We start from the raw sequence: 26,588 nt of genomic DNA, 5'->3' as shown, positions 1-26,588 counted from the left end.
TTGTGAGGAATCCCATTGATTGGTTAGGATGTGTTACACAGGGCAGAGGGCATTATGAGATATTCTGCCTCTCTAAGATTAATCTGGAAGAGCCCTTTCTGTTTACCACTCACCTAAATCCAGATGAGTGTGTGCCTGCCTAGAAGGGTAGATTAGTTTGGTTAGATCTAGGTTCCTCAGAGTTGGCGTAATATCAGAAAATAAGGGAAGTTTATGCTAGTCACTTAGAATTGCTATATTGAGGTCACAGTGTTCTGGAAAATTAAGAGCATAATATTTTTCTTCCTTAACAAGGGCACCACGACATTAGGACAACTTGTTAATCATTTGGGAAGAAAGAACCTTACTTCATATCTTTCACCAAAATAAATTTCAAATATATTAAACACTTAAATGAAAACATTAAAATAGTAAAGTACAGAATAATATGTAGATACATATTTATATCATATTTATATGTAGAAGACCCTTCTAAGCATGAAAGCAAAACCAGAAAACATAAAAGGAGAAAAAAAAGTCCGATAGATTTGACTTCATAAAAATAAAAAATTGAAAAGCCAAAATGTCACAAGTAAAATGTAAAGACAAAGGCAAACTTGGGTTAATAGTCTTACTATATATAGAGCTCTCATAAATCAATAAATCAATAAGACAAACATAAGAAGACCAATAGAATAATGAGCAAAGATCATGAACAGAAAATTTACAAAAGAAATAAACATATCAAAAATGTCAACTTCACTGTACTCATAGAAATGCAAATTAAAAGATTGAGATTACAAGATTTTGCCCAACAGGTTGGCCAAGTTTAGTGCTCACTGTTGAAGGACAATGGGAAGGAAACATTTCATATACTGCTACTGAGAGTTTAAATTGGTATCATATTTTGCAGGGTAATTTGGTAATATGTATTAAGGCTTTAAAATGTATGTGATGTGCATAATAATAATTTTTCAAATACCTTTCAATGTGTTTGTTTTGGTAATCTGATAACTTTCCATTATTAAGGGGCCAGGGAATGGATAAGGTGAATGCCGCCTTGAGAAGGAGGGCACATTTCATCTCATCCACATAGGAAGAGGAAGTCATATATAGCCTTTTCTGGTTCCTAGAGGAGGGTGCCTAGGAAGAAGAAGGGGGTGGTTCCAAGTAAGTTTGGTAGATTCTTAGAGCACTAGAACCAGTGTCTTGCATCCCCAAGTGCAGGCTGGGAAAATGATAAGTTCCTCTGGACAAGTACCATGTCTAACATGATGCCACCCAGATAAGAGATTAAAAATGGTACAATGGACAGGTACAGTGGCTTATGCCTGTAATCCCAGTACTTTGGGAGGCCAAGGCAGGCAGATCTTTTGAGCCCAGGAGTTTGAGAACTACCTGAGCAACATAGTGAGACCTCATCTCTACAAAAATACAAAACTAGTCAGGCATGGTGACATGCGCCTGTAGTCCCAGGAACTTGGGAGGCTGAGGTGGGAGGATGACCTGAGCCTGGAGGGAGTATTGAGGCTGCAGTGAACCATGATCACATCACTGCATTCCAGCCTGGGTGACAGAGTGAGACCCTCTCTCAAAAAATAAAATAAAATAAAATAAATAAAAATGGTACAATGGCATAATAAGTTGGAAGAGGGCAAAAATTATCCCCTAGTTTTCCATTGCACTACCATTGGCAAAACTGAGTCCTGGAGAAGGCTTTGGAAAGTTACTGGGACCTGGGACAGGCTTACTTCTCAAATGACAGTGAGATGAGAGGACAGCAAGCAGAGGCTGTGAGTGACTAATCTCTATAGTTGAGTCTTAGGGATAGTTGTCATGTATGTGTAGGCACTCCTATACCAATAGGCTTTGATTCGGTTGCCATATGATATAACCAAGAAGGTAGACATCACCAGCCTCAAAGACCAGACTAGGTGAAGACACCAGCACTAGCCCCCATAGTCTTCAGGAACTGCCCAAAGACAACATAGAATCAATGACCAGCAGAGACTCAAAGGACAGCCAGCTGTCAGGATCCCACCCTCCATTGCCACGAGGACATCTTGGGAAGGAGAAGGGAGATAAAACTTGACTGTCTGAGCATTTACACAAAGGAGATGATTTGAAATAGAAAATGTTGTTTTTTATACTTGTAAAGTCAGATATCTTTAATTGGCAAATTTAAATCTGCATGCCTCCTGTATCATACAGAAAGATGGGGGTTTGTGAGAAACTTGAGATAGAAAAATACAGAGAAGCTGCACATATTTGCACAACATGAATTATAAAATGTCAATTTCATGTTCATAGCCATTAATCCAGCCGTTACACATCTAGCAATTTATTCTAAAGAAATAACTGGACAAGTGTCCGAGGATACACACATATAAAAAATGTTCATTATAGGTTTTTAAAGATTGAAAATCTGGAAACAACCTAAATGCTTATCATTTGAGGAATAGTTATGAAACTGATCTAATAGTCCCATAGACATTTTTTTCTTGGCAAAACATAGAAATTGACTTTTCTGCTTTTTTTTTTTTACCAGTTTTATAAGGAATATTACAACCCTTCTTGTTTTAAAGCTTGAAACATACATTTGTTTTATCTAAGTTCTTTCCTCAGGAAGGGACCCTCAGGCCTCTCAAAAGTATCAAAGAACTGAAACTCACCAAATCATCACATCCAGACAATGAAATGCCATGTCCCTCATTCCTTCTCTGGAGTCCCTGTTTTCCCACACATAGTTACATTTTTTCCCCTGCTATATAAACCCCTAATTTTAGTCAATTAGGGAGGTGGATTTGAGACTGATCTCCCATCTCCTCAGCTGCACCACCTGATTAAAGCCTTCTTCCTTGGCAATACTGGTCTCAGTGATTGGCTTTCTGTGCGGTGAGCAGTAGGACCTAGACTGAACCCCCGGTGTTTCTGTAACAGTTATATTATAATAAATTCATACAATGAAATGTTACTTAGTTGTTAAAAAGGATAAGAGAAATCTATATGATTGGCATGGGAAAGCTATCTAAGACATGTTAGGAGATAATATGAAGATGGAGAATATTAAATGTAGAATGATTAATTTATATAAAAGTATATATTGATATATACTTAATGACATGGAAACGTATCCTTATTCTATAGGAAAATAGAAAGATTATATAATCATATAGAGTGTGATCCCATTTTTAAGTATGTATATGTAATATATCATTCATTTATGTGTGTATATATTTATATACATAGAAGAAAGTCTCAAAGTATCTGTTCCAAATTACTAGGAGTGATAGAATGGTGAGATTAAGTAGAATTTTCACTTTCTTATTTGTACATTTCTGTATTGTCTAATGTTTTTTCAGAATAAGCTATTTTTTTATGACTGGAGACATCAACAAACTTATTTTCTCTTCTTTTTAAGACTTTTTTTTTTCTTGAAGATGGAATCTCTTTAAGGCCTGCCCAGGCTGGCCTTAAACTCCTGGGCTCAAGTGATCCTCTTGCTTCAGCCTCTTGAGTAGCTGGGACTATAAGCCCTGAACCCGAGTCAACAGATATATTTTCTTATGAAAATAAAAATAATGTACATATTTAGTGACAAGAAGATTAAAAGAGAAGATCACTAAAACACATATGGTTTAATGTCATTTGTTTTTACATAAATGAGTATATGTGCATATAAACATGATATATACCAAAATGTTAATATTAATATCTCTGGATATCAGAATTAACAATAGTTTATACATATATATTTTGATCAACCTTGTTTTCTTATTTCCTTCTGATAAAAGTATTTTGCAAAATTAAGGGGGAAAAAGCACAAAGTGGCTTCCTTGAAGCAGAGCTAGAGTATCTGTTGACCTATTTGAGGCAGTTGTTGAGGTGTGTTGGGTACCAAGTGATAGAGTTGTAGGGAAAATGTGGTGTTTACATAGCACTGGCTACTTAATTGGCAGGGCCTTGTGCAAAATAAAAATGCTTTTTTTCAAAATCAAGAAGAAATTGCTGTTAAAGTTGCTAAAATATGAAGCTTTTTCTTCTACATGTCTTTAAAATTTTTATTTTAGGTTTGGGGGTACATGTGAAGGTTTGTTGCATAGATACACATGTGCCATGGGGGTTTGTTTTACATATTATTATACTACACAGATATTAAGCTCTGTGCCCAATAGTTATCTTTTCTGCTCCTTTCCCTCCTCCTACCCTCCCCTCTTAAGTAGACCTCAGTGTCTGTTGCTTCCTTCTTTGTGTTCATAAGTTCTTATCATTTAGTTCCTACTTAGAGGTGAAAACATATAGTATTTGGTTTTCTATTCCTGTGTTAGTTTGTTAAGGATGACAGCCTTCAGCTCCATCCATGTTCCTGCAAAAGACATGATCGTGTTCTTTTTTATGGATGCATAGTGATACAGTTTGGCTGTGTCTCCATCCACATCTTATCATGAGTTGTAACTCCCACAATTCCCACGTGCCATGGGAGGAACCCAGTGGGAGGTAATTAAATCATGGGGGTGGGTCTTTCCAGTGCTGTTCTGGTGTTAGTGACTAAGTCTCATGAGATCTGAAATGGGAGTTTCCCTGCACAAGCTCTCTCTTTTCCCGCTGCTGTCCATGTAAGTAAGACGTGACTTGCTCCTCCTTGCCTTCCCCCATGATTGTGAGGTCTCCCCAGTCATGTGGAACTGTAAGACCATTAAACATCTTTCCTTTGTAAATTGCCCAGCCTCAGGTATGTCTTTATCAGCAGCATGAAAATGAACTAACACAGTAAATTGGTACCAGGAGTGGGGTGCTGCTGAAAAGATACCCAAAAATGTGGGTGTAACTTTGGAGCTGGGTAACAGGCAGAGGTTAGAACAGTTTGGAGGGCTCAGAAGAAGATAGAAAAATGTGGGAAAGTTTGGAACTTCCCAGAGACTTGTTGAATGGCTTTGACCAAAATGCTGATAATGATATGGACAATGAAATCCAGACTGAGGTGGTCTCAGATGGAGGTGAGGGACTTGTTGGGAACTGGAGTAAAGGTGACTCTTGTTATGTTTTAGCAAAGAGCCTGGTGACATTTTGTGCCTGCCCTAAAGATTTGTGGAACTTTGAACTTGAGAGAGATGATTTAGGGTATCTGGCGGAAGAAATTTCTAAGCAGCAAAGCATTCAAGAGGTGACTTGGGTTCTGTTAAATGCATTCAGTTTTATAAGGGAAGCAGAGCATAAAAGTTCAGAAAATTTGTAGCCTGACAATGCAATAGAAAAGAAAATCTCATCTTCTGAGGAGAAATTCAAGCCAGCTGTGGAAATTTGCATAAGTAACAAAGAGCCAAATGTTAATCCCCAAGACAATGGGGAAAATGTCTCCAGGGCATGTCAGAGGTCTTCACGACAGTCCCTCCCATCACAGGCCCAGAGGCCTAAGAGGAAAAAGTGGTTTCATGGGCTGGGCCCAGGGTCCCCGTGCTGTGTGCAGCCTAGGGACTTGGTGCCCTGCATCCTAGCTACTCCAACCATGGTTGAAAGGGGCCAATGTAAAGCTCAGACCATGGCTTTAGAGGGTGCAAGCCCCAAGCCTTGGCAGCTTCCATGTGGTGTTGAGCCTGCAAGTGCACAGAAGTCAATAATTGGGGTTAGAGAACCTCCGCCTAGATTTCAGAGGATGTATGGAAATGCCTGGATGTCCAGGCAGGAAGTTTGCTGCAGGGGCAAGGCCCTCATGGAGAACCTCTGCTAGGGCAGTGCAGAAGGGAAATGTGGGGTCAGAACCCTCACACAGAGTCCCTACTGGGGCACTACCTAGTGGAGGTGTGAGAAGAGGGCCACTGTCCTCCAGACCCCAGAATGGTATATCCACTCACAGCTTGCACTGTGTGCCTGGAAAAGCCACAGACACTAAATGCAAGCCTGTGAAAGCAGTCGGGAGGGAAGCGGTACCCTGCAAAGCCACAGGGGTGGAGCTGCCCAAGACCATGGGAACCAACCTTTTGCATCAGCGTAACCTGGATGTGAGACCTGGAGTCAAAGGAGATCATTTTGGAGCTTTAAGATTTGACTGCCCCACTGGATTTCAGACTTACATGGGGCCTGTAGCCCCTTTGTTTTGGCCAATTTCTCCCATTTGGAATGGCAGTATTTATCCAATGCCCGTGTCCCCACTGTATCCTGGAAGTAACCAACTTGCTTTTGATTTTACGGGCTCATTGGTGGAAGAGACTTGACTTATCTTGGATGAGACTTTGGACTGTGGACTTTTAAGTTAATGCTGAAATGAGTTAAGACTTTGGGGGACTGTTGGGAAGGCATGATTGGTTTTGAAATATGAGCACAGGATATTTGGGAGGGGCCAGGGGCAGAATGATATGGATTGGCTGTGTCCCTACCCAAATCTCATCATGAATTGTAACTCCCACAATTCCCACTTATCATGGGAGGAACCCGGTGGGAGGTAATTGAATCATGGGGGTGGGTCTTTCCCATGGTGTTCTCATGATAGTGAATAAGTTTCACAATATCTGATGGTTTTAAAAGATATCTGATGGTTTTAAAAATGGGAGTTTCCCTGCACAAGCTCTCTCTCTTTTTGCCTGCTGCCATTCATGTAAGATATGACTTGCTCTTCCTTGCCTTCCACCATGATTGTGATGTGTCCCCAGCCACGTGGAACTGTAAGTCCATTAAACATCTTTCTTTTGTAAATTCCCAGTTTTGGGTATGTCTTTATCAGCAGTGTGAAAACGGACTAATACACATAGTATTCCATGGTGTATATGTACCACATTTTCTTTATTCAGTCTGTCATTGATGGGTATTTAGGTTGATTCCATGTCTTTGCTACTGTGAACTGTGCTGTAATGAACATTCATGAACCTGCATCTACATGTCTTCTCTGTTCATGCATGCAATCCATTGTCCCACTGAACATCACTTACAATATATGAGTTCAAAGAGAAAACATATTAAGAATTTTAAGGTGGTGATAACAAAATTAAATCAAGCCAGGGTCCTTCTTAGTGGGGGACCTGTGTGACTGCACAGGTTCACTACCTTGAAGCTGGGTCTGTGGTCACACACAGAGGGGAAGCCTGGCTCTGAATACTGTTATCCAGAGACACAAATAAAGCTACTAGCTGCAGAACAATGTAGAGTAACATGCTTAATGGGGACTCATATTGGGCCTCTCTCCTCCAGGGTCTGCTATACATAACTAATAGTTTATCTAAATGTGTATCTGGAATCAGTGTCTATCTGTCCTGACTTCCACTAATTATTAGGACTTCCACTAATTATATTATTATTGTTGTTTGATAGGGGTACAGCATGGATTCAATTAATTATCCCTTTATTTGTGGGCTACGTAGTTTCCTATTAGTGACTGTAGTTGTGTTTTAGTTAAATAAAGGAATCTGTCCTATCAATGTTTAGTAAGAGCTTTAGCCAACTCTATCAACTTTTTCCTCCTCACCTTGGAGGGAGTTTGTAAGCTTTGACTTCAGCCTCACGCAGAAGTCAGTTCTGAAGGCCTTGCTACCTTCTCCTCCTCCTTCTCCTCCTCCTCCTCCTCCTCCTTCTTCTTTTTTTTGACAGGGTCTTGCTCTGTCACCCAGGCTGGAGTGCAGCTCATTGCAGCCTCAACCTCCCAGGCTCAAATGATGCTCCCACCTCAATCTCCTGAGCAGCTGGGACTACAGGTGTGTGCCACTTCACCTGGCTAATTTAAATTTTTTTTTGTAAAGACAGGGTTTCCTTATGTTGCCCAGGCTCGTCTTGAACCCTTGGGCTCAAGAGATCCTCCCTCCCTCCTTGGGCTCCCAAAGTGCTGGGGTTACAGGTGTGAGCCATCATGACTAGCCTGAAAGCCTTGCTACCTTCTGACATAGCACTCCTTACTCTAGTTGTACAACATGACATGCCAGTTCCCAATGAGCAGGACTGGAAATTCTCCAAATTCAAGCAGCCAGTGACAACCTCCCTGGTTTGCATTTCTAGCTCAGTAAGATGAATGCAGGCTCAGGTAGAGATGAGAGGCAGAAATTATAGGAACTCTTGGGTTGAGGACTTCCAGGGTGAGAAATCTGGGGAAAGAAGTAGTATGGGAGCAATAGAAGGGTGAAGAATCAGAACAAAGTTTGGGGAAAGGGAATGGTGGTTGAAATGGGGTGTGTGGAGAGGAGCAAGGACTCTCACAGGTCTAGAGAAAAATGGCCACTTTTATTCTTATGGATATATTACAAAATAAATACCAAACAAGGGTTAAATTTTGTGGTATATTTTAAATGTACACATTTAATAAATTTAATGTTTTTGTTAACATGGATAACACTGTGCAATGTTATCATTTAGAATAATCTCTAGGTTTGTACAACATAGAAATTTATAGTGCACTATTTGCAGTTGTTGGAAATAACACACAAGGTTAAAGTTATATGATAAATGTAGTTTAAAACTTTTCAATTGTGGTAAGATACATATAACATTAATTTACCATCTTAACTATATTTATCCTTTTTTTTTTTTTTTTTTTTTTTTAGAGATGGAGTGTCACTCTGTCGCCCAGGCCAGAGTGCAGTGGCAAGATCTTGGCAGATCTTGGCTCACTGCAACCTCTGCCTCTCGAGCTGAAGTGATCCTCCTGCATCAGCCACCCAAGTAGCTGGGATTACAGGTGTGCACCACCACACCTGGCTAATTTTTGTATTTTTAGTAGAGATGGGGTTTCTCCATGTTGGCCAGGCTGGTCTCGAACTCCTGACCTCAAGTGATCTGCCCACCTTAGCGTCTCAAGTTGCTGGGGTTACAGGCATGAGCCATTGCACCCGACCTGTTTTTACTTTTAGCTCAATCAGTTTTTGCTTTACATATTTTGCAGCTCTGTTGTTTGGTGCATATACTTTAGGATAGTCATGTCTTGATGAACTGACACTTTTATCATTATGTAATATCCTTCTTTGTCTTGGGTAAATCTTTGGGGTCTGAAATGAATTTTATTTTATACTCTGTCTATATGTTTACTATTATTTATATGTTAATATGTATTTAATTTAAGGTAAAATATATACTGATTATATGTAATGACATATTACATATATATTGCTAATATATTTGTGTGTATGTGGTATCTCTATATATACTCGGATACTAATGTAGCCACTACTGCTTTCTTTTGCTTGATGTTTGCATAATAATACTTTTCTATCCTTCTACTTTCAACCTGACTATACCATTATATTTAAAGTGAGTTTCTTATAGATATCATATAGTTAGATCATGTTTTTTAACCAACTCTGCCAGTTTCTGTTTTTTAATTGGTACATTTATACCATTTAAATTTAATATAATTATTGCTACTTGAAACTTAAATCTGCCAGCTTATTCTTCCCCTCTTTTATTTCTGTTTTTCTTTTGCTCTCCTGCCTTCCTGTAGATTATTTCAACAATTTTTAGAATTCCATTTTGATTTATATACAGTGTTTGTGAGTGTATCCCTTTGTGTAGCTGTTTTAGTCATTGCTCTAGGTATTACATTACATATATGCATCTATCTATCTATCTATCATCATCATCTATCTTATCACAAGCTACTGGTGTCTCTACTTTATCAGTTTGAGTGGAGTATAGAAACCTTACCTCTCTTAATGTTCTTTTACACTTCTTCATTACAATATATTTCTCTTAAGTATTTCCTCTACTTACATTTAGAACTAATTCAGACAGCATTGTAATTTTTGCTTCAATTGTTCAGCATAATTTGGAAGACTCAAGAGCAGAAGAAAATTCTGTTTACCCATATTTTTTCTTACTATATTTTTTCTTCCTTTCTTATCGTCCAAGATTCCTTTTTTTTTTTTAATTCCCTTTTCATTTAGAGAACTTCCTTATACCGTTCTTTTTGGGTATGGCAACTAGTAATAAATTCTCTTAGTTTTTCTTCATGTAAGAAAGTCTTGATTTCCCCTTTATTGCTAAGGGATACTTTTGTTGGATATAGAATTGTGGATTAACAATTGTTTTCTTTCAGCATGGTGCTTCCTTCTGACCTGCATGGTTGCAGATGAGAAACCATTGTTATTCTGTTGGAAGAAAAGCTGAGTGTAGGGAGAGAAGCTGAGGCAGGGCTTGCATGTCTGCTAGACTTGCTGGCTCCTTGCTTCTAGCACTCCCATTATCTCAAGCAGCCGTATGTTTCTCATTCACTTGATACACTGTTTCCTTTCAACCCCCACATCCTCACCACCTGTTTCTTTGTTTGGGCACCAATAAATAGTGTGGGCTTTCAGAGCTCGGGGCCTTTGCAGCCTCCACACTCGCGATGGCTCCCTGGTCCCACTTTCTCTCTCAAACTGTCTTTTTCTCATTCCTTTGACTCCACTGGACTTCGTCGCCCCCATGACCTGGTGTTGGGTCTGATCACCCCAACATTCCTGGCTGCCCAATGTGGGGTGACAAAGACCCCGGTGAAGGAATGCTAGAGCATGTGAAAGCAGAGGATGCATCGTCAAAGGACACCCGAGGACATCTAAAAGATGCTCCGCGGGAAAGCTGAGCGCTCGGAAGAATAGGGTAACAATGTGACAAAGTGAAAGCAGACATTCTGCTTATTTAAATTTCTTGAGGCATTTATTATGAAGAGGGGGAGTGAAAGTTAGTACTCAGAGTTTATTATCACTCTTTAGTACAGTAAAGCAGTTTTGCCCGTGGTTTCCTGAACAAGGGACTATGGAGTTGGATGAATGGGAGAGAATTCGAAGAGATTTTAAAAAGGCAGATAAAGAGGGAGCAGAAATTCCAGTTTCTGTTTGGTCAATGTGGGTGCTAATAAAGGCAGCTCTTGAGCCATTTCAAACAGATAGGCAGATTCAGATGACAAAGAGGAGGACGAGTGTAAAAAACTAGCTTCAGATTCTGAGTGTGAGGAACAGCTACCGGAAGAGATTAAAGAAAAGAAAGGAAAACTAAAAAAATATGTTTTACTAGCCCGTCGGCTCCACCTGCTGAATTAAATGAATGGCCACCTCCTCTCTCTCTCCTTAATGGGCCAGAAAAGAAATTAGCTGAAAAACTTACTGCTCCTGTAGTTGCAACATTAAAACCTGGAGCATCATAAAACCATCAATTGATGGTGCTATGCAAAATTCTATTCAAAAAGCTAGAGCCAAGGGAGACCTTGAAGCATGGCAATTTCCCATTATTATAATCCAGCACGGAGGACAGAATATAGCTAATTGGGCCACTTTCCCTTTTAAGTTACTAAAGGAATTTAAGCAAGCCATTGGTCAATATGGACTGAACTCTCCTTTTGTGCAAACTTTATTAAAAAATATGGCTCTCGATAATAGATAATATCATATGATTGGGATACTTTGACAAAATCCATTCTTACTCCATCTCAGTACTTGCAGTTTAAAAGCTGGTGGGCTGAGGAAGCACAAACTCAGGCAAGGGAAAACACACAAGCACAGCCACCTGTGCCTGTTTCCTTTGAACAGTTAATGGGAGTTGGCCCTAATTGGGGTCAATTAGAGAATCAAGCAGTAATGGAGGATGTTGCCATTGTTCAGCTGTGCTTTGTGTACTTACAGGCATGGGAAAGGATAAATGTTACATGGGAAAAATATCCTTCTTTCAGCTCTGTCTGACAAGGACCTAAAGAACCATATATTGATTTTATTGCTCGGTTCCAAGAGGCTGTGTATAAAGCCATAACTGATAAAACGGCTCGGGATGTTGTAATACAGCTTCTTGCATACGATAATGCTAATGTACAGTGTCAAACTGCTATTAGACCCCTGAGAGGGAAGACTTATTTAGCTGAATATATTAAGGTTTGCGATGGCATTGGAGGTAACTTACATAAGGCTATTCTTTTAGCTCAGGCTCTGGCTGGATTAAGAGTAGGAAATAATATGCCCTATTTCTCAGGCTCTTGCTTTAATTGTGGGCAATTTGGACATACAAGAAAGGAATGTAGAAAAGGAAATCAAAAGGCAAAAACTACTACCATCAATCAACAGAAAAGTCCTGGTGTATGTCCCCAGTGTAAGAAAGGCAATCACTGGGCAAGTCAGTGCCATTCTAAATTTAGCAAAGATGGACAACCTCTTTCAGGAAACGGGAAGAAGGGCCCGCCTCGAGCCCCTCAACAAACTGAGGCATACCCAGCACAGCCAGTGGCCTTACAAATGTACAACAATTGTCCCCTGCCTCAGCAGGCAGTGCTGCTGTAGACCTCTGCAGCACAATTCCCATCTCCTTACTTCCTGTGGAGCCACCAAAGAAGGTCCCCATGGGAGTTAGGGGACCCTTACCCTCAGGAACAGTCGGTCTATTACTTGGAAGGTCTAGTCTAAATTTAAAAGGTGTTACTGTACATACGGGAATAATTGACTCTGATTATACTGGAGAAAATCAATTAGTTATTAGTTCCTTGACTCTGTGGTCTGCCTCCCCAGGAGAAAGAATTCCTCAGTTGTTGCTGTTACCTTACATAAAACTAGGAAGCAGCACAGTGAAAAGAACAGGAGGCTTTGGTAATACTAATCCAGCAGGAAAGGCTGTGTATTGGGTTAATCAAGTGTCTGACAAAAGATCTATTTGCACAGTAACTATTCGGGGAAAAGATTTTGAAGGACTAGTAGATACTGGAGCTGATGTCTCTATTATTGCTATAAATCAATGGCCCCAGCACTGGCCTAAGCAAAGGGCATCCATTGGTATTATTGGAGTAGGAGCTGCCTCGGAAGTTTTTCATAGTTCTTTGATTTTACCATGTCAAGGCCAGATGGTCAGGAAGGAACAATTCAGCCTATCATTACACCTATTCCTGTCAATTTATGGGGTAGAGACTTATTGCAACAATGGGATGATGAAATATCTATTCCTACGGATCAATATAGTAATAATAGTAGACAAATGATGAAAAATATGGGATATCGCCTGAGAGAAGGACTAGGAAAAGATAAAAATGGCCAATCAGAACCTTTAGAATTAAAAGGGCAAACAGATTGGACTGGATTGAGGTGTCATTTTTGGGAGCGGCCATTGTTGAGCCTCTGGCTCCCATTCCTCTTGTTTGGCTAACTGCCAAACCGGTTTGGGTGGAGCAATGGCCGCTGAAACAGGAAAAACTGGAGGCTTTAAAAGAACTGGTGCAGGAACAATTGCAAAAGGGACATATAGAGCCTACTTTATCCCCTTGGAATTCTCCTGTATTTGTCATTAAGAAAAAATCAGGGAAATGGAGAATGTTAACAGATTTAAGGGCTGTTAATGCTGTGACTCGACCCATGGGTGTTCTACAACCAGGGCTGCCCTCCCCAGCAATGATCCCAAAATACTGGCCTCTCATAATGATAGATCTAAAGGATTGCTTTTTTGCCATTCCTTTAGCTGCCCAAGATTATGAAAAATTTGCTTTTACTGTTCCCACCATAAATAATAAAGAATCGGCAGACAGATACCATTGGAAAGTACTACCACAAGGCATGCTAAACAGCCCGACTGTTTGTCAAATTTATGTCAGGAAAGCTATTAAGCCAGTTAGAGAACAGTTCAAAAAATGTTATATTATCCATTACATGGATGATATTCTGTGTGCAGCTGAAACTAGGGAAGAATTGATGTTGTGCTACAAACAGTTAGAAAAGGCTGTAAATGCGGCAGGGTTAATTATAGCCTCTGATAAAATCCAAACTTCTACTCCCTTTCAATATCTAGGAATGAAGGTAGAGCAAAGTGCTATTAAGCCTCAAAAGGTTCAAATTCGAAGAGATAATTCAGAAACCTTAAAAGATTCCCCAAAATTATTAGGAGACATTAATTGGATTTATCCAACTTTAGGCATTCCTACCTATGCTATGTCTCACCTCTTTTCTACTTTACGAGGTGATTCTAACCTTAACAGTAAACACTCCCTGTCCAAGGAAACATTGGAGGAACTTCAATCAATTGAGGAAAAAATTCGGCAAGCACAAGTAGAATGGATTAACCTGATACAGACATTACAGTTTTTAGTTTTTCCTACTAAGCATTTGCCTACAGGAGTTATAGTTCAACAGGATGATCTGGTTGAGTGGCTTTTTCTACCATACAATACAACCAAAATGCTCACTCTATACTTAGATCAAATTGCTGTGCTAGTAGGACAAGCGAGGCTGCGTACAACAAAGCTAATGGGACATGATCCAAATCAGATCATAGTTCCATTAACTAAACAACAAATTCAACAAGCCTATATTAATTCCAAGAATGGCAAGTTAATTTGGCCGGTTTTGTTGGCATTCTTGGTAATCATTATCCTAAGTCTAAAATCTTCCAGTTTCTAAAATTAACATCCTGGTATTGCCTTCTATTACTCAAAAAGCCCCTATTGAAGGGGCCATTACTGTTTTTACTGATGGATCTAGTAATGGAAAAGCCTCATTTGCAGGACCTCAACAGCAAGTTTTTCAAACTGACTTTGCTTCTGCTCAAAGGGCTGAACTTATGGCTGTGATAACAGTGTTAAAAACTTTTAAGCAGCCAGTAAACATTGCTTCTGATTCAGCCTATGTTGTGCAAGCCATGCAAAATGTTGAATGTGCCTTAATTTGAAATGTGACTGATGAACGACTTAATCTTTTATTTCATTCTTTACAGCAAGTAGTACAACAAAGGCATTCACCTTTCTATATCACTCATTTGAGAGCACATACTAACCTCCCTGGCCCTTTAAATTTAATTAAAGGGTGGATGCATTCATGTCTGCAGCCTTTGCTGATGCACAAACATTTCATTATTTAACCCATCTTAATGCAGCAGGCCTTAGAAAAAGATATGGTCTATCATGGAAACAAGCTAAAGAAATTGTGTAACACTGTTCTGCCTGCCAAGCCCTGTATCTGCCACATCAAGGAACAGGAGTTAACCCTAGAGGTTTATCTCCAAATTCCATCTGGCAGATGGATGTAACACATATTCCTGCTTTTGGAAAATTGTCCTTTGTTCATGTTTCAGTAAATACCTATTTACATTTTATCTGGGCCACATGTCAAACATGGGAAGCCACAGCTCATGTTAAAAGACATCTTTTATCTTGCTTTTCAGTTATGGGAATCCCAGAAAAAATCAAAACTGATAACAGCCCAGGATACTGTAGTAAAGCCATGGCTACATTTTTTCAACAATGGAATATTACCCATACTATGGGTATTCCATATAACTCACAAGGACAAGCAATAGTGGAAAGGGCTAATTGTACTTTAAAAACTCAAATACAAAAGCAAAAGGGAGGGGACCAGGAATATAAAAAACCACATATCATTTGCATTTAGCTTTATTAACATTAATTTTTTTAAATGTACAAAAAGATCAAACCATGACTGCAGCTGAACAACACCTGACGGGACAAAAGGAAAATAAAAAGGCTGGACAAGATACATGGTGGAGGGATGTACATACAAAGAGCTGGGAAAAAGGACAGATAATTTTATGGGGAAGAGGATTTGCTTGTGTCTCTCCAGGTGAGGATCAGGTGCCTGTGTGGGTGCCCACCAAACATCTGAAGATCTATCATGAACCATAGCATCTAGTGGACCCACCTGTACAGTGCAAATTGAAGGTTTAAGGATTGCTTTCAGGCCTCGATTTGCTTTCTCTGTGCCTTCTGTTAGAAGGGGCCTGCTTCTCGTTATCAACAGTAAGTTTTACCCCACGGTAATTAACCAAAGAGGCAGAAGGTGAGTTACAAATGCTTCAGCAATGGCAGGCCTCTTGGCTACAGCCACAAAAGTTTTTGCTTCTGTTTCAGTAGATTTACTAACTGGGGGTGAGGGTATGCTTGTGTTTTTGCAGGAGATGAACAAACCGTGTAGGTGCCCTCAAGATGTGTATGACCATGGAACATGAGACTGGAAGGACCCATGGATCCCAATCATGGACCGGGTTCCCCCAATACAAGCCACGCTGTGAGAAACTGAGAGGTGACAATGTGCTAGCAGCCCTCGCTTGCTCTCGGTCCCTCCTCAGCCTCGGCGTCTGCTCTGGTTGCACTCGAGGAGCCCTTCAGCCCACAGCTGCGCTATGAGGGCCCCTCTCTGGGGCTGGCCGAGGCTGGAGCCAGCTCCCTCTGCTCGCGGGGAAGTGTGAAGAGAGAGGTGTGGGTGGGAGCCAGGCTGCACACGGCACTTGCAGGCTGGCACGGGTCCCAGGTGAGTGGTGCCTGGCTTGATTGGAGGCTGAATCCTGTGCATGGACCACCATTCCCTCTTCACGGGATCGTTGGCCACGATAGGAGGTCTCTGTCTCTTTCTCGCTTCCCTTCTTTTCCTCCTGATTGTCTGGGATGAGCTCCCTCTGGGCTGCTGGAGTGCCCAGGCTAGGTGCCGCAAAGTCCCGTGGTGAGTGCCAGTGAGAGGTGAAGCCAGCTGGGCTTCTGGGATGGGCGGGGACTTGGAGAACTTTTCTGTCTAGCTAAAGGATTGCAAACGCACCAATCAGCACTCTGTCAAAATGGACCAATCAGCGCTCTGTAAAATGGACCAATCAGCAGGATGTGGGTGGGGCAGATAAGGAAATAAAAGCAGGCCACCAAAGCCAGCAGCGGCAACCTGCTCAGGTCCCCTTCCATACTGTGGAAGCTTTGTTCTTTTGCTCTTCGCAATAAATCTTGCTGCTGCTCACTCTTTGGGTCCTTGCCACCTTTATGAGCTGTAACACTCACCACGAAGGTCTGCAGCTTCACTCCTGAGGCCAGCGAGACCATGAACCCACTGGGAGGAACGAATAACTCCAGACGTGCCACCTTTAAGAGCTGTAACACTCACCGCGAAGGTCTGCAGCTTCACTCCTGAAGTCAGTGAGACCACGAACCCACCAGTAGGAAGAAACTCCAGACACGTCCGAACATCAGAAGGAACAAACTCCGGACACACCATCTTTAAGAATTGTAACACTCACCGCAAGGGTCCACGGCTTCCTTCTTGAAGTCAGCGAGACCGAGAACCCACCAATTCCAGACACAAAACTGCTGGAGTGCCAGGGTTTTACCTATAGATGCTTAACGGATGAATACTTTCTGAGTGAACTCCTCTCTACCCTGAATACAAGAGAACCTAATAGGTAGGCAGGAGTATCATCGCCCCTATTTAGCATGAAGAAGTTACAGAAGACGGACCTCCATCCTTCTGCAACCCCTAGGATTAACGGTCCTCTTGTAAAAGGGAAAAGGGAGATATGTAGGAAGTATTCAAACCAGAGCGACTCCATTTTGAATAAGGGCTAAGAAAAATGAAGCTGGATCACCAACCGGCAGTTAAGGGCTGCACAGCCTGCAATTGCCTTGCTCAATTAATTTAAAAAAGAGGCCATCTTATGCTAATAATAATGATAGCTGTGGTGGTTTTAACAATAAAGAGAAGGGGGGCATGTTGGGAGAAAAGCTGAATGTTGGGAGAGAAGCTGAGGCAGAGTTTGCATGTCTGCTAGACTTGCTGGCTCCTTGCTTCTAGCACTCCCATTATCTCAAGCAGCCATATGTTTCTCATTCACTTGATACACTGTTTCCTTTCAACCCCCACATCCCCACCACCTGTTTGAGCACCAATAAATAGCGTGGACTCCCAGAGCTTGGGGCCTTTGCAGCCTCCACACTCGCGATGGCCTCCTGGTCCCACTTTCTCTCTCAAACTCTTTTTCTCATTCCTTTGACTCCACTGGACTTCGTCGTCCCCATGACCTGGTGTTGGGTCTGATCACCCCAACACATTCAAATTATATTTCCCATATGTATAAGATGTCTTTTCTCCCTTGCTGCTTTCAATAATTTTTTTCTTTGCTATCCATTTTCAGAAATTTAACTAAGATGTGTCTTGGTGTGAAATTCTTTGAGTTTATCCTGTTTGAGGCTCACTCACTTCTTGAATCTGTAGGCTTGCATGTTTTGCCAAATTTGGGAAGTTTTCAACCTGCCCTCTTTCTCCTTTCCTTCTTGAACTCTGATGACATGAATGTTATATTTTTTGTTATAGTCCCATAAACCTGTGTTCATTTTTCCCCCACCTATGTTCTCTCTCTTGTTCAAATTGGGTAATTTTCATTGTCCTATCTTTGAGGTTGCTGATATTTTCTCCTCTATCTCCTCTATTCTGCTGTCGAGCTTATCCATCGAATTTTAAAATTTCAGCTGTTGTATTTTTCAGTTACAAGTTTTCTATTTGGTTCTTCTTTATATTTTCTGTTTCTTTGCTAAAATTTCCTGCTTTTTAATTTGTTTCAAGTGTGTTCATAATTGCTTGCAGAAGCCATTTTATTTATTTATTTATTATTTTATGTTATTTGTGAGATGGAGTATCACTCTGTCACCCAGGCTGGTGGACAGTGGCATGATCTCAGCTCACTGCAACCTCCGCCTCCTGGGTTCAAGCAATTCTTCTGCCTCAGCCACCCAGGTAGCTGGGATGACCGGTACCTACCAACAAGCCTGGCTAATTTTTGTACTTTTAGTAGAGACAGGGCTTCTCCATGTTGGCCAGGCTGGTCTTGAACTCCTGGCCTCAAGTGATTTGCCCACCTTGGCCTCCCAAAGTGCTGAGATTACAGGCATGGACACTGTACCCAGCCTTGTCAGATAATTCTGATATTTCTATCATCTTGGTGTTGGCATCTATTGATTTTATTTTTAATTCAGCTTGAGATATTCCTGGTTCTTGGTATAAGGGGTAACTTTTTATTGAAATTGGACTTTTTGGTATTATGTTATGAGACTCTGGATCTTACTTAAACTTTCTGTTTTAGGTGGCTTCCTCTGATACCACTCTGGCAAGGGAAGAGGGGCACTGCCTCATTACTTTCAGGTGGGTTGTAAGAGTCCTGGCTCCCCACTTGGTCTCTCTTGACACTCAAGGGGGGTTTCCTCCTTGCTAATGCTGGGTGGAGGTGGGAGTTCCAGTTCCCACCTAGGCCTCCACTCATACCTAACTGTCTGCCCTCCACATGGTCTCCAATGACATAATGGTGGGGGATAACCTGGTTACCAATGGGCAGTGGTAAATGTCCTGACTCTCCTCTAAGCCTCCTCCGACACCTTCCTAGCCAGGAAGAGGAGGGGCACCTTGTTATTGACAGGCTCCCATTGTAGTCTCTACTTCTACCTTTGGTGGGTAAGCTGTCATTATCATCCAGCAGAAATGAAAGTCTTGGTTCCCTACTCTGTCTCCTTTGATGTCACCCTGGAGAGGCTATTGGGATACCTTGTTATAGCCTGGAGAGAGGATAGAAGTCTGGGCTTCTCACTTGGCCTTCGGTATCAGGAGTAGGGATAGAGCCACAGTCTTTTCTATGGTGTTTGCCTGCAGTAGAGTAGTTATTATTTAAAAGTTTTCTGTCTTACTAGGCTGTTCCTTTCCTAGGTCTTTAGATAGAGAGAGCAGTGTTTTGTTAGGGCTTTTGATGTCTGTGCCCATTGTTGTTTCTGAGTTGTCAGCTTCTTCAGCTTGAAGTCTGACATATATAAGGCAAAAATAATACCCAAGAACTTAGCATCATATCATTTCTTGGAACCCAAGGTCCCTAACCCCTCTGTCTTATTTTCTCCTCCTTTCATAGCCTTATATATATTTTAATGTAGTATATATAAAACAAGTATATCTACCTATCTTCCTGGAAGCTGACTGAATTTATTTTTAATCTGACCTGAAAATCTCCATTTTGAAGTTACTTTATATTTATTATATTTACTGATATATTTGGATATATTTTCACTATGTTGTTGTATGTTATTTGTTCTACTTTTTCCCCATTTCCTTTTTTTCTTCCTTTGGGTCTATATTTGGCTTGATGGAGGCTGTTTTGTTTTAACTTTTAAGGATTTTTTCTTTTACTATTACTCTTAAGTTTTTAACATGCATATTTGACTGAATAAAGTATCTTTGCTAATGAAATAAACATCTCTACTCTTCTAAAAAAAATGAGAACTTTAGAATGCATTAAATCCACTCAATCTCCTCTCATTTTATTTGTTGTTGCTATCCAATATTGTACCTCCTCCTTATCCAAATTATACATCATTATTACTGTTTCATACAGTCAATAATTGTTTGGCTTTAACCACATGTGTTCTAATTTCTTTATAAGCCATTTCTTCTTGAATCTTAGTCCTACCTTTGGAGTTCATTTTTCTTCTTTCTGAAGTAATTCATTAGAATTTCCTTTGGTGAGGGTCTATTGATGAAACTTTTAGTTTTCATTTGTCTGAAAAGGTCTTTATTTTGCCCTTGTTCTTGATAGATGGTTTTGCTATGCTTCACAATTCCAAGTTGACAATTACTTTCTCTCAGCACTTTGAAGATACTATTTTATTGTCTTGTGTATTTTATTGTTACTGTAGAGATGCCTGCTGTCAGTTTAATTGTTTTTCCTTTTTAGATAATCTATCTTTTCTCTCTGGCTGCTTTAAAATATTTTGTTTTGTTATTTAACAGCAATGTGTTTAGATGTGGAATTTCTTTCTTTTTAAAATTCTATTAGAGGATTTATGTTTTCTGAATTTGGAGATTTATAGCTTTTATAATTCTGAAAATTCTCTGCTAATATCTCTTTGAATATTGATTACTGCCAAGTGCAAAAACACCCAGAGCTGTTGAAGCATTAGCATCCATTACAGTTACGCTCTCCGCTTCTTTTTAATTTTTTGATCTCTGGAGATTTCCTCTTCTCTCTTACTGGCTGTGTTATGTTATACATCAAAAAGATTAAAAATAAATCTACAGAATTTGTAGTTATTTTCTAGCAGAAGATTTTTCAGGAGATCTAGTGCTCCATATTACCGGAAATGGAAGTCTAAAAGTATTCTCATCCTTTCATTTGTCTCTGAGACTGTATGTATGACATTATTGTAAATAACATTTGAGAATTAAGTTTAAGATAACATTAAGAGTTACAGTTTAAGGCTCATTGAGGATATTAAGCTTGTGGCAACTGGCACCTGTTCCCATGAAGATGAACCCAGGGCGAGGGCTGGAGATAGGTAGTAGGGAGTAAAGTGAGCAGAGTTTGCTTACTCTTCAGTTTTTCAATCTCTCTTATTCCTTTCCTGTCATTTGCTAGCTGTGTGTTGGACATATTTCTTGAAGTCTTTCAACCTTAGTTTCATTATCTGTCTAATGAAGACAATAGCACAATTTTGTAGGGCTGTTATAGAATTAAATGAGATGGCATGTGTAAAATGCTTGGTTCAGTGCCCAGCTCAAAAAAGATGTTGAAGGAATGTTAGTTCCTCCCTTTCCCTTAGTAGCATTCGTGCCCCCCCCCCACTTTTTTTCCTATCTTCATTTGCTAGCCAGCACTTAGACAAAATTGAACTAGGATTGGGTGGAAGAGACACTAGGTAGTGGAAGGAAATGTAGTGGTGGACAAAAAGAGCTAGACAAGGAGAGCCCCAATAATATAGGAAAGAAAAGAGGAATGTTGACTTCCATCCCCATGAGGCAACCTTTCAGAGGTAATTTGGGGACACGTAATCAAAGACCACCTTCCTTTCTGTCACCTGAAATAGGCTGGTCATTCTTCTGTTTTTCAGCAATATTTCTTTATTATTATTATTATTATTATTATACTTTAAGTTTTAGGGTACATGTGCACAATGTGCAGGTTAGTTACATATGTATACATGTGCCATGCTGGTGTGCTGCACCCATTAACTCGTCATTTAGCATTAGGTATATCTCCTAATGCTATCCCTCCCCCCTCCCTCCACCCCACAACAGTCCCCAGAGTGTGATGTTCCCCTTCCTGTGTCCATGTATTCTCATTGTTCAATTCCCATCTATGAGTGAGAACATGTGGTGTTTGGTTTTTTGTACTTGCGATAGTTTACTGAGAATGATGATTTCCAATTTCATCCATGTCCCTACAAAGGACATGAACTCATCATTTTTTAAGGCTGCATAGTATTCCATGGTGTATATGTGCCACATTTTCTTAATCCAGTCTATCATTGTTGGACATTTGGGTTGGTTCCAAGTCTTTGCTATTGTGAATAGTGCCGCAATAAACATACGTGGGCATGTGTCTTTATAGCAGCATGATTTATAGTCCTTTGGGTATATACCCAGTAATGGGATGGCTGGGTCAAATGGTATTTCTAGTTCTAGATCCCTGAGGAATCGCCACACTGACTTCCACAATGGTTGAACTAGTTTACAGTCCCACCAACAGTGTAAAAGTGTTCCTATTTCTCCACATCCTCTCCAGCACCTGTTGTTTCCTGACTTTTTAATGATTGCCACTCTAACTGGTGTGAGTTGGTATCTCATTGTGGTTTTGATTTGCATTTCTCTGATGGCCAGTGATGATGAGCATTTTTTCATGTGTCTTTTGGCTGCATAAATGTCTTCTTTTGAGAAGTGTCTGTTCATATCCTTCACCCACTTTTTGATGGGGTTGTTTGTTTTTTTCTTGTAAATTTGTTTGAGTTCATTGTAGATTCTGGATATTAGCCCTTTGTCAGATGAGTAGGTTGCAAAAATTTTCTCCCATTTTTTAGGTTTCCTGTTCACTCTGATGGTAGTTTCTTTTGCTGTGCAGAAGCTCTTTAGTTTAATTAGATCCCATTTGTCAATTTTGTCTTTTGTTGCCATTGCTTTTGGTGTTTTAGACATGAAGCCCTTGCCCATGCCTATGTCCTGAATGTTTTTCAGCAATATTTCAATCTCTTACGATCTTAGTTTATACACAGTTCTTTGAAAGCAGGAATCAAAGGGAAAAGGAGAGGATGGGAATGAAGAGTCCAGATCTAAATCATAACTAAGAGAAAATAGGATATCATTCCCATTGCTTAGAATTAATGGCATATAGGTTTGATGACATAAAAAATGTTTCTGGAATTTCTTTAACTGGAAAAATACGTTTTCAGAGGAATAACTTGTTATCTGCACACTGTTGGCTTTTGTTTTGGATCAAAAGGCCCAAATCTATGTTAACAGGCAGTTTAAATGAAAACAAGATATACATCTATTTAGTGTAGTATATGTTGTAGTATTAAGATTAATACAAAGGATTAAAAGTAGAATTTCCATCTCAATTCTTAATTTACGAGTTTCAGAGTGATAGTTAGATCTGATAGTAATTTATATATACTTGCTTCATGGTTTAATTTTACCCATATATTACAGATCCTAATTCAAATGCCAGAGTCTTAGATTAAGAACCCAGAGAGAACTTAAATTATAGGCTTTTGCTGTTTTTCACTTGCCTGATTTACCAATAGCAGTAAAGCATGAATTATAGCCTTGCTAGTCTCTGGAAGACCATGACTGATACTAGAAATAATAATTGTTGCTGCCCTTAAATCGGAAGAAACAGCACAAAAGCAGTAACTGATCTGGGATATGGAAGCTAGATTTATTTCTGTTTGAGTGGGTGTGAAAAATAGGTAATTTGCATATAGTTTAGGGGAAAAGATGTAGGATTGGTTTTGTGATAATCAGCCTATTGTTGTTCAAGAGGGACTCTGAGAGACCATATAGAGAGGAGAGATCATTTTGAAAACTGGGGAGAATGGGGAAAAAAAGGACAGGATCTGTGTGTAATTCAGAGGATGTCAGGATCCAGCTCAATTTGTTAGTATATTTTTATTAGTACATCACTCGAAAAAAAATCAGCGTTGCTATTTTAGAATCTTTATTTCTCATATGGCTTCTCAACTATGAAACAAGAATCTTAAATATCAGTATTAGGTATATTAACATACTTAGTTAGAATTGTGTTCTGGTGAATATAGTATAGAATGAGGATTATTATTACAAGCTGTGTGAAAATTTTAAGTAATTTATATGCAAAAGAGAGTTGAGTCTGAAGAGCATTGGTCTAATGTGCTCCTAGTAAGTGTACCTCCAGGCCTTTCCTGCCGTATCCCTCAGTCAAGCCTCAGGAAAACAACCTTTCTCATTTCTCTTCCTAGCCCTTCTCTATAGCAATGCACTCTTTGGTCACTTACCATAAAGGCATCAAAGCTACTATTTTGAGGGAAGGGTTTGATTATAATCTAATTAAAAGCCATTTACAGATGCAGAGAATCTTGACAGAGTCCAGCCTGAGTACTTCGATGTCTCTCATTCTATGGTGATTGATCTAGGGAAACTTTGAAATCAAGATATTTATGTATTTAGTAAGATACAAAGAGCAAACTCTTTTTTTTTTTTTTAAACAGAGTTGCTGCTATTGTTATCTACTTCCCCATTCATCATCAGCAGAAATGCCAAATTCCTTTCTCAGCATAGTGGTTGAGTTCAGGCTCTGAAATTCGTGTGATTTCATATCATGTGCTACCAGTTATTAGCTATGTGATCTTGGTCAAATTACTTAGCTTCTCTGTGCCTGTTTTTTCTGTAATATATAGGTGATAATGTTTTCTGCTTCATAGGGTTGTTGTCAGCTTTAAATGTGATTAATATACATAAACACTTCACACAGAATCTAGTATTTGGTGAATGCTCAGTAAAAGTTAGCTATTATTATAACTAACCCTGTCTTGGAATGACAAATGACAGCAAGCAGTTAATATCTAACTATAATCAGCATTTTGTCATCTCAACAAACACTATTCTGACGCAATAACATACCTTAATGAAAGCAGCACCTCCATTTAACTTTACGTTAGGAATAGCAGAGACACAATTTAATTTTACTAATCATTTTTTGGGCATTAATCAACTGCCAATCAACTGCATATCTAAACAGACCTACTTTATTGTATTATTTTCTCATATTAAAATAAATCCTTTAACAAACCATACAGACTTCAGCTGTTAAAGATATCTGTCCTGCCTTTTTTTTTTTCTTTTTTTGAGATGGGGGTCTCACTCTGTCCGCCAGGACGGAGTGCAGTGGCACGACAGAGACCCAGGGTCTCTCTATGGTGCCCAGGCTGGTCTTGAACTCCTGGCCTCAAGTGATCCTCCTCCCTCAGCCTCCCAAGTTACTGGGATTACAGATGTGAGCCACCATGCCCAGGTTGTTAAAGGGGTCTGAAAAAAAGATGGTAACTCTAAAACAGGGAGAAATACTAGAAATGGTGCAAAACTGAGTTTTCCTAATGAAATTATATGCGAGGCAATATTAGCTAAGTAATCCTATTGCCAGAATAGCTGACATTCTAGTATTTTTTTTTTACTTTTAGTCATTCTTTTCTGTGACATTTTGAGTAAAACATGTTATTTATTATTTTAGTGTTAATCATGGTTCTTTCCTCTAGTATTGAAAATTCTGCTACATCTGTTAAGTGTATTTTTTTTTTTTAATAACCAAGGAACAAAATTCTTTCCAGGACAATGTGGGGTGGTAGGACAAGTCAATGAAAAAAAAAATGAATTCCTTGTTCAGTAAATTCTACTTTATAGTAAACTTTTTAGAAACATAGCAATTGTGTTAAGTTAGGGTTACCACTGTAAATATTCTATGACTGTGTGTGTGATTACAGGGGAAATCAGAAAATATGTTCTCCTCCCAACACTTTGACTGTAGCTTGCGTGTTGCAGCTAGAAATAGAGCAAGGGGTTGTTAACAGAGAATGCTTCTTCAGTAATTCCTTGTGGCATGCATTTAGCTCTCTGCCCCCACGGTTAGAGACCTCCATCCTTTTGCCAGCTGCTGTGTTCAGTTGTCTGGGTTATTTTGGGTGGCAGTGGGTTGATCCTAGGGGGAAATGATTGCATATCTTTGCATTTTAAAATGTTCTGTACAAATGTGTTATGAAAGATTTGGGAGCCATAGGGAATTATAGTTTTATTAAACAGTTTGTGTTTGAGTTCTGGGGTATTGACCAGGCCGTAAAATTCAGAAGCCTGCAGAACGTAGTAAAGAAACCAATCCTTTGTTAGTTTTAAATACCTGCTCTGAGTAGCACAGTGGGAAATGGAATGCTATGGACACTTTGCAGTAAAACACTGGGATCTCCAGATATCCTAGGGGAAAGTGGGAAGAGGGGATGTGAGTGGAATGATAGATGGTACAATCAATTGGATTGGCAGCTTATTAGACAAAGCAATGGATTGATGTGATCCTGGAGAGAGCTCTGGTCCCATCATCAGGGCTCTGCTTAAGTCCTATCATGTGTTAAATATTTTAATCAATATTTGGATGAAACACGGAAAACATGCTTGCCAGATTTAAGGTTGCCATAAAGATGAATGCACGGTATCCAGAATCATAATACAAAAAGAGGCTGGCTGACTGGTCCTATGGACTAAAATGATGCAATTTAACAGGGATACAGGAAAGGCCTATATTTGGGAAGGAGGATGTATTGTTTATTGGCTGAATAATTGTGCATATTTATAAACTTCCAATTCTCTAATAAGTGATCCAACCAGAAAATTGACTCTAATATGAAGCTGCTGAATTCTGGGGGTATTTTGATTTGTGGACGTGGAGAAAGTGGTAGAGAGCAATACCTCCAGAGAACCTAAAAAGTATAGCATAGGGAAAAATTATAACCCTTATTACCTTGAGTTATTTTTAAATAAAAGTTTAATTTTAAGAAACCAAAATTATATGCTCCTTGCCCAAATGTTCCATCAAGAAAACAAACTTAAATATTTCATACATGCCAGAGTAAACTTTGAGGTTTCTTTACTCCTGTGTAACCT

At 39.6% G+C, this 26,588-nt stretch overlaps 2 annotated features.

Moving 5' to 3' along the window:
• Positions 15,560-16,059: an enhancer, noted in NCBI's record as "H3K4me1 hESC enhancer chrX:117428685-117429184 (GRCh37/hg19 assembly coordinates)". NCBI's record gives its function as "activates a minimal SCP1, AML or CMV promoter by ChIP-STARR-seq in primed H9 embryonic stem cells {active_cell/tissue: H9 hESC(primed)}" and the evidence as "EXISTENCE:reporter gene assay evidence [ECO:0000049][PMID:30033119]".
• Positions 16,060-16,561: an enhancer, noted in NCBI's record as "H3K4me1 hESC enhancer chrX:117428183-117428684 (GRCh37/hg19 assembly coordinates)". NCBI's record gives its function as "activates a minimal SCP1, AML or CMV promoter by ChIP-STARR-seq in primed H9 embryonic stem cells {active_cell/tissue: H9 hESC(primed)}" and the evidence as "EXISTENCE:reporter gene assay evidence [ECO:0000049][PMID:30033119]".

This window comes from Homo sapiens, chromosome X (genome assembly GCF_000001405.40).
Source record: "Homo sapiens chromosome X, GRCh38.p14 Primary Assembly".
Taxonomy (NCBI): domain Eukaryota; kingdom Metazoa; phylum Chordata; class Mammalia; order Primates; family Hominidae; genus Homo; species Homo sapiens.
This window is presented reverse-complemented; position numbering and strand designations above follow the sequence as displayed.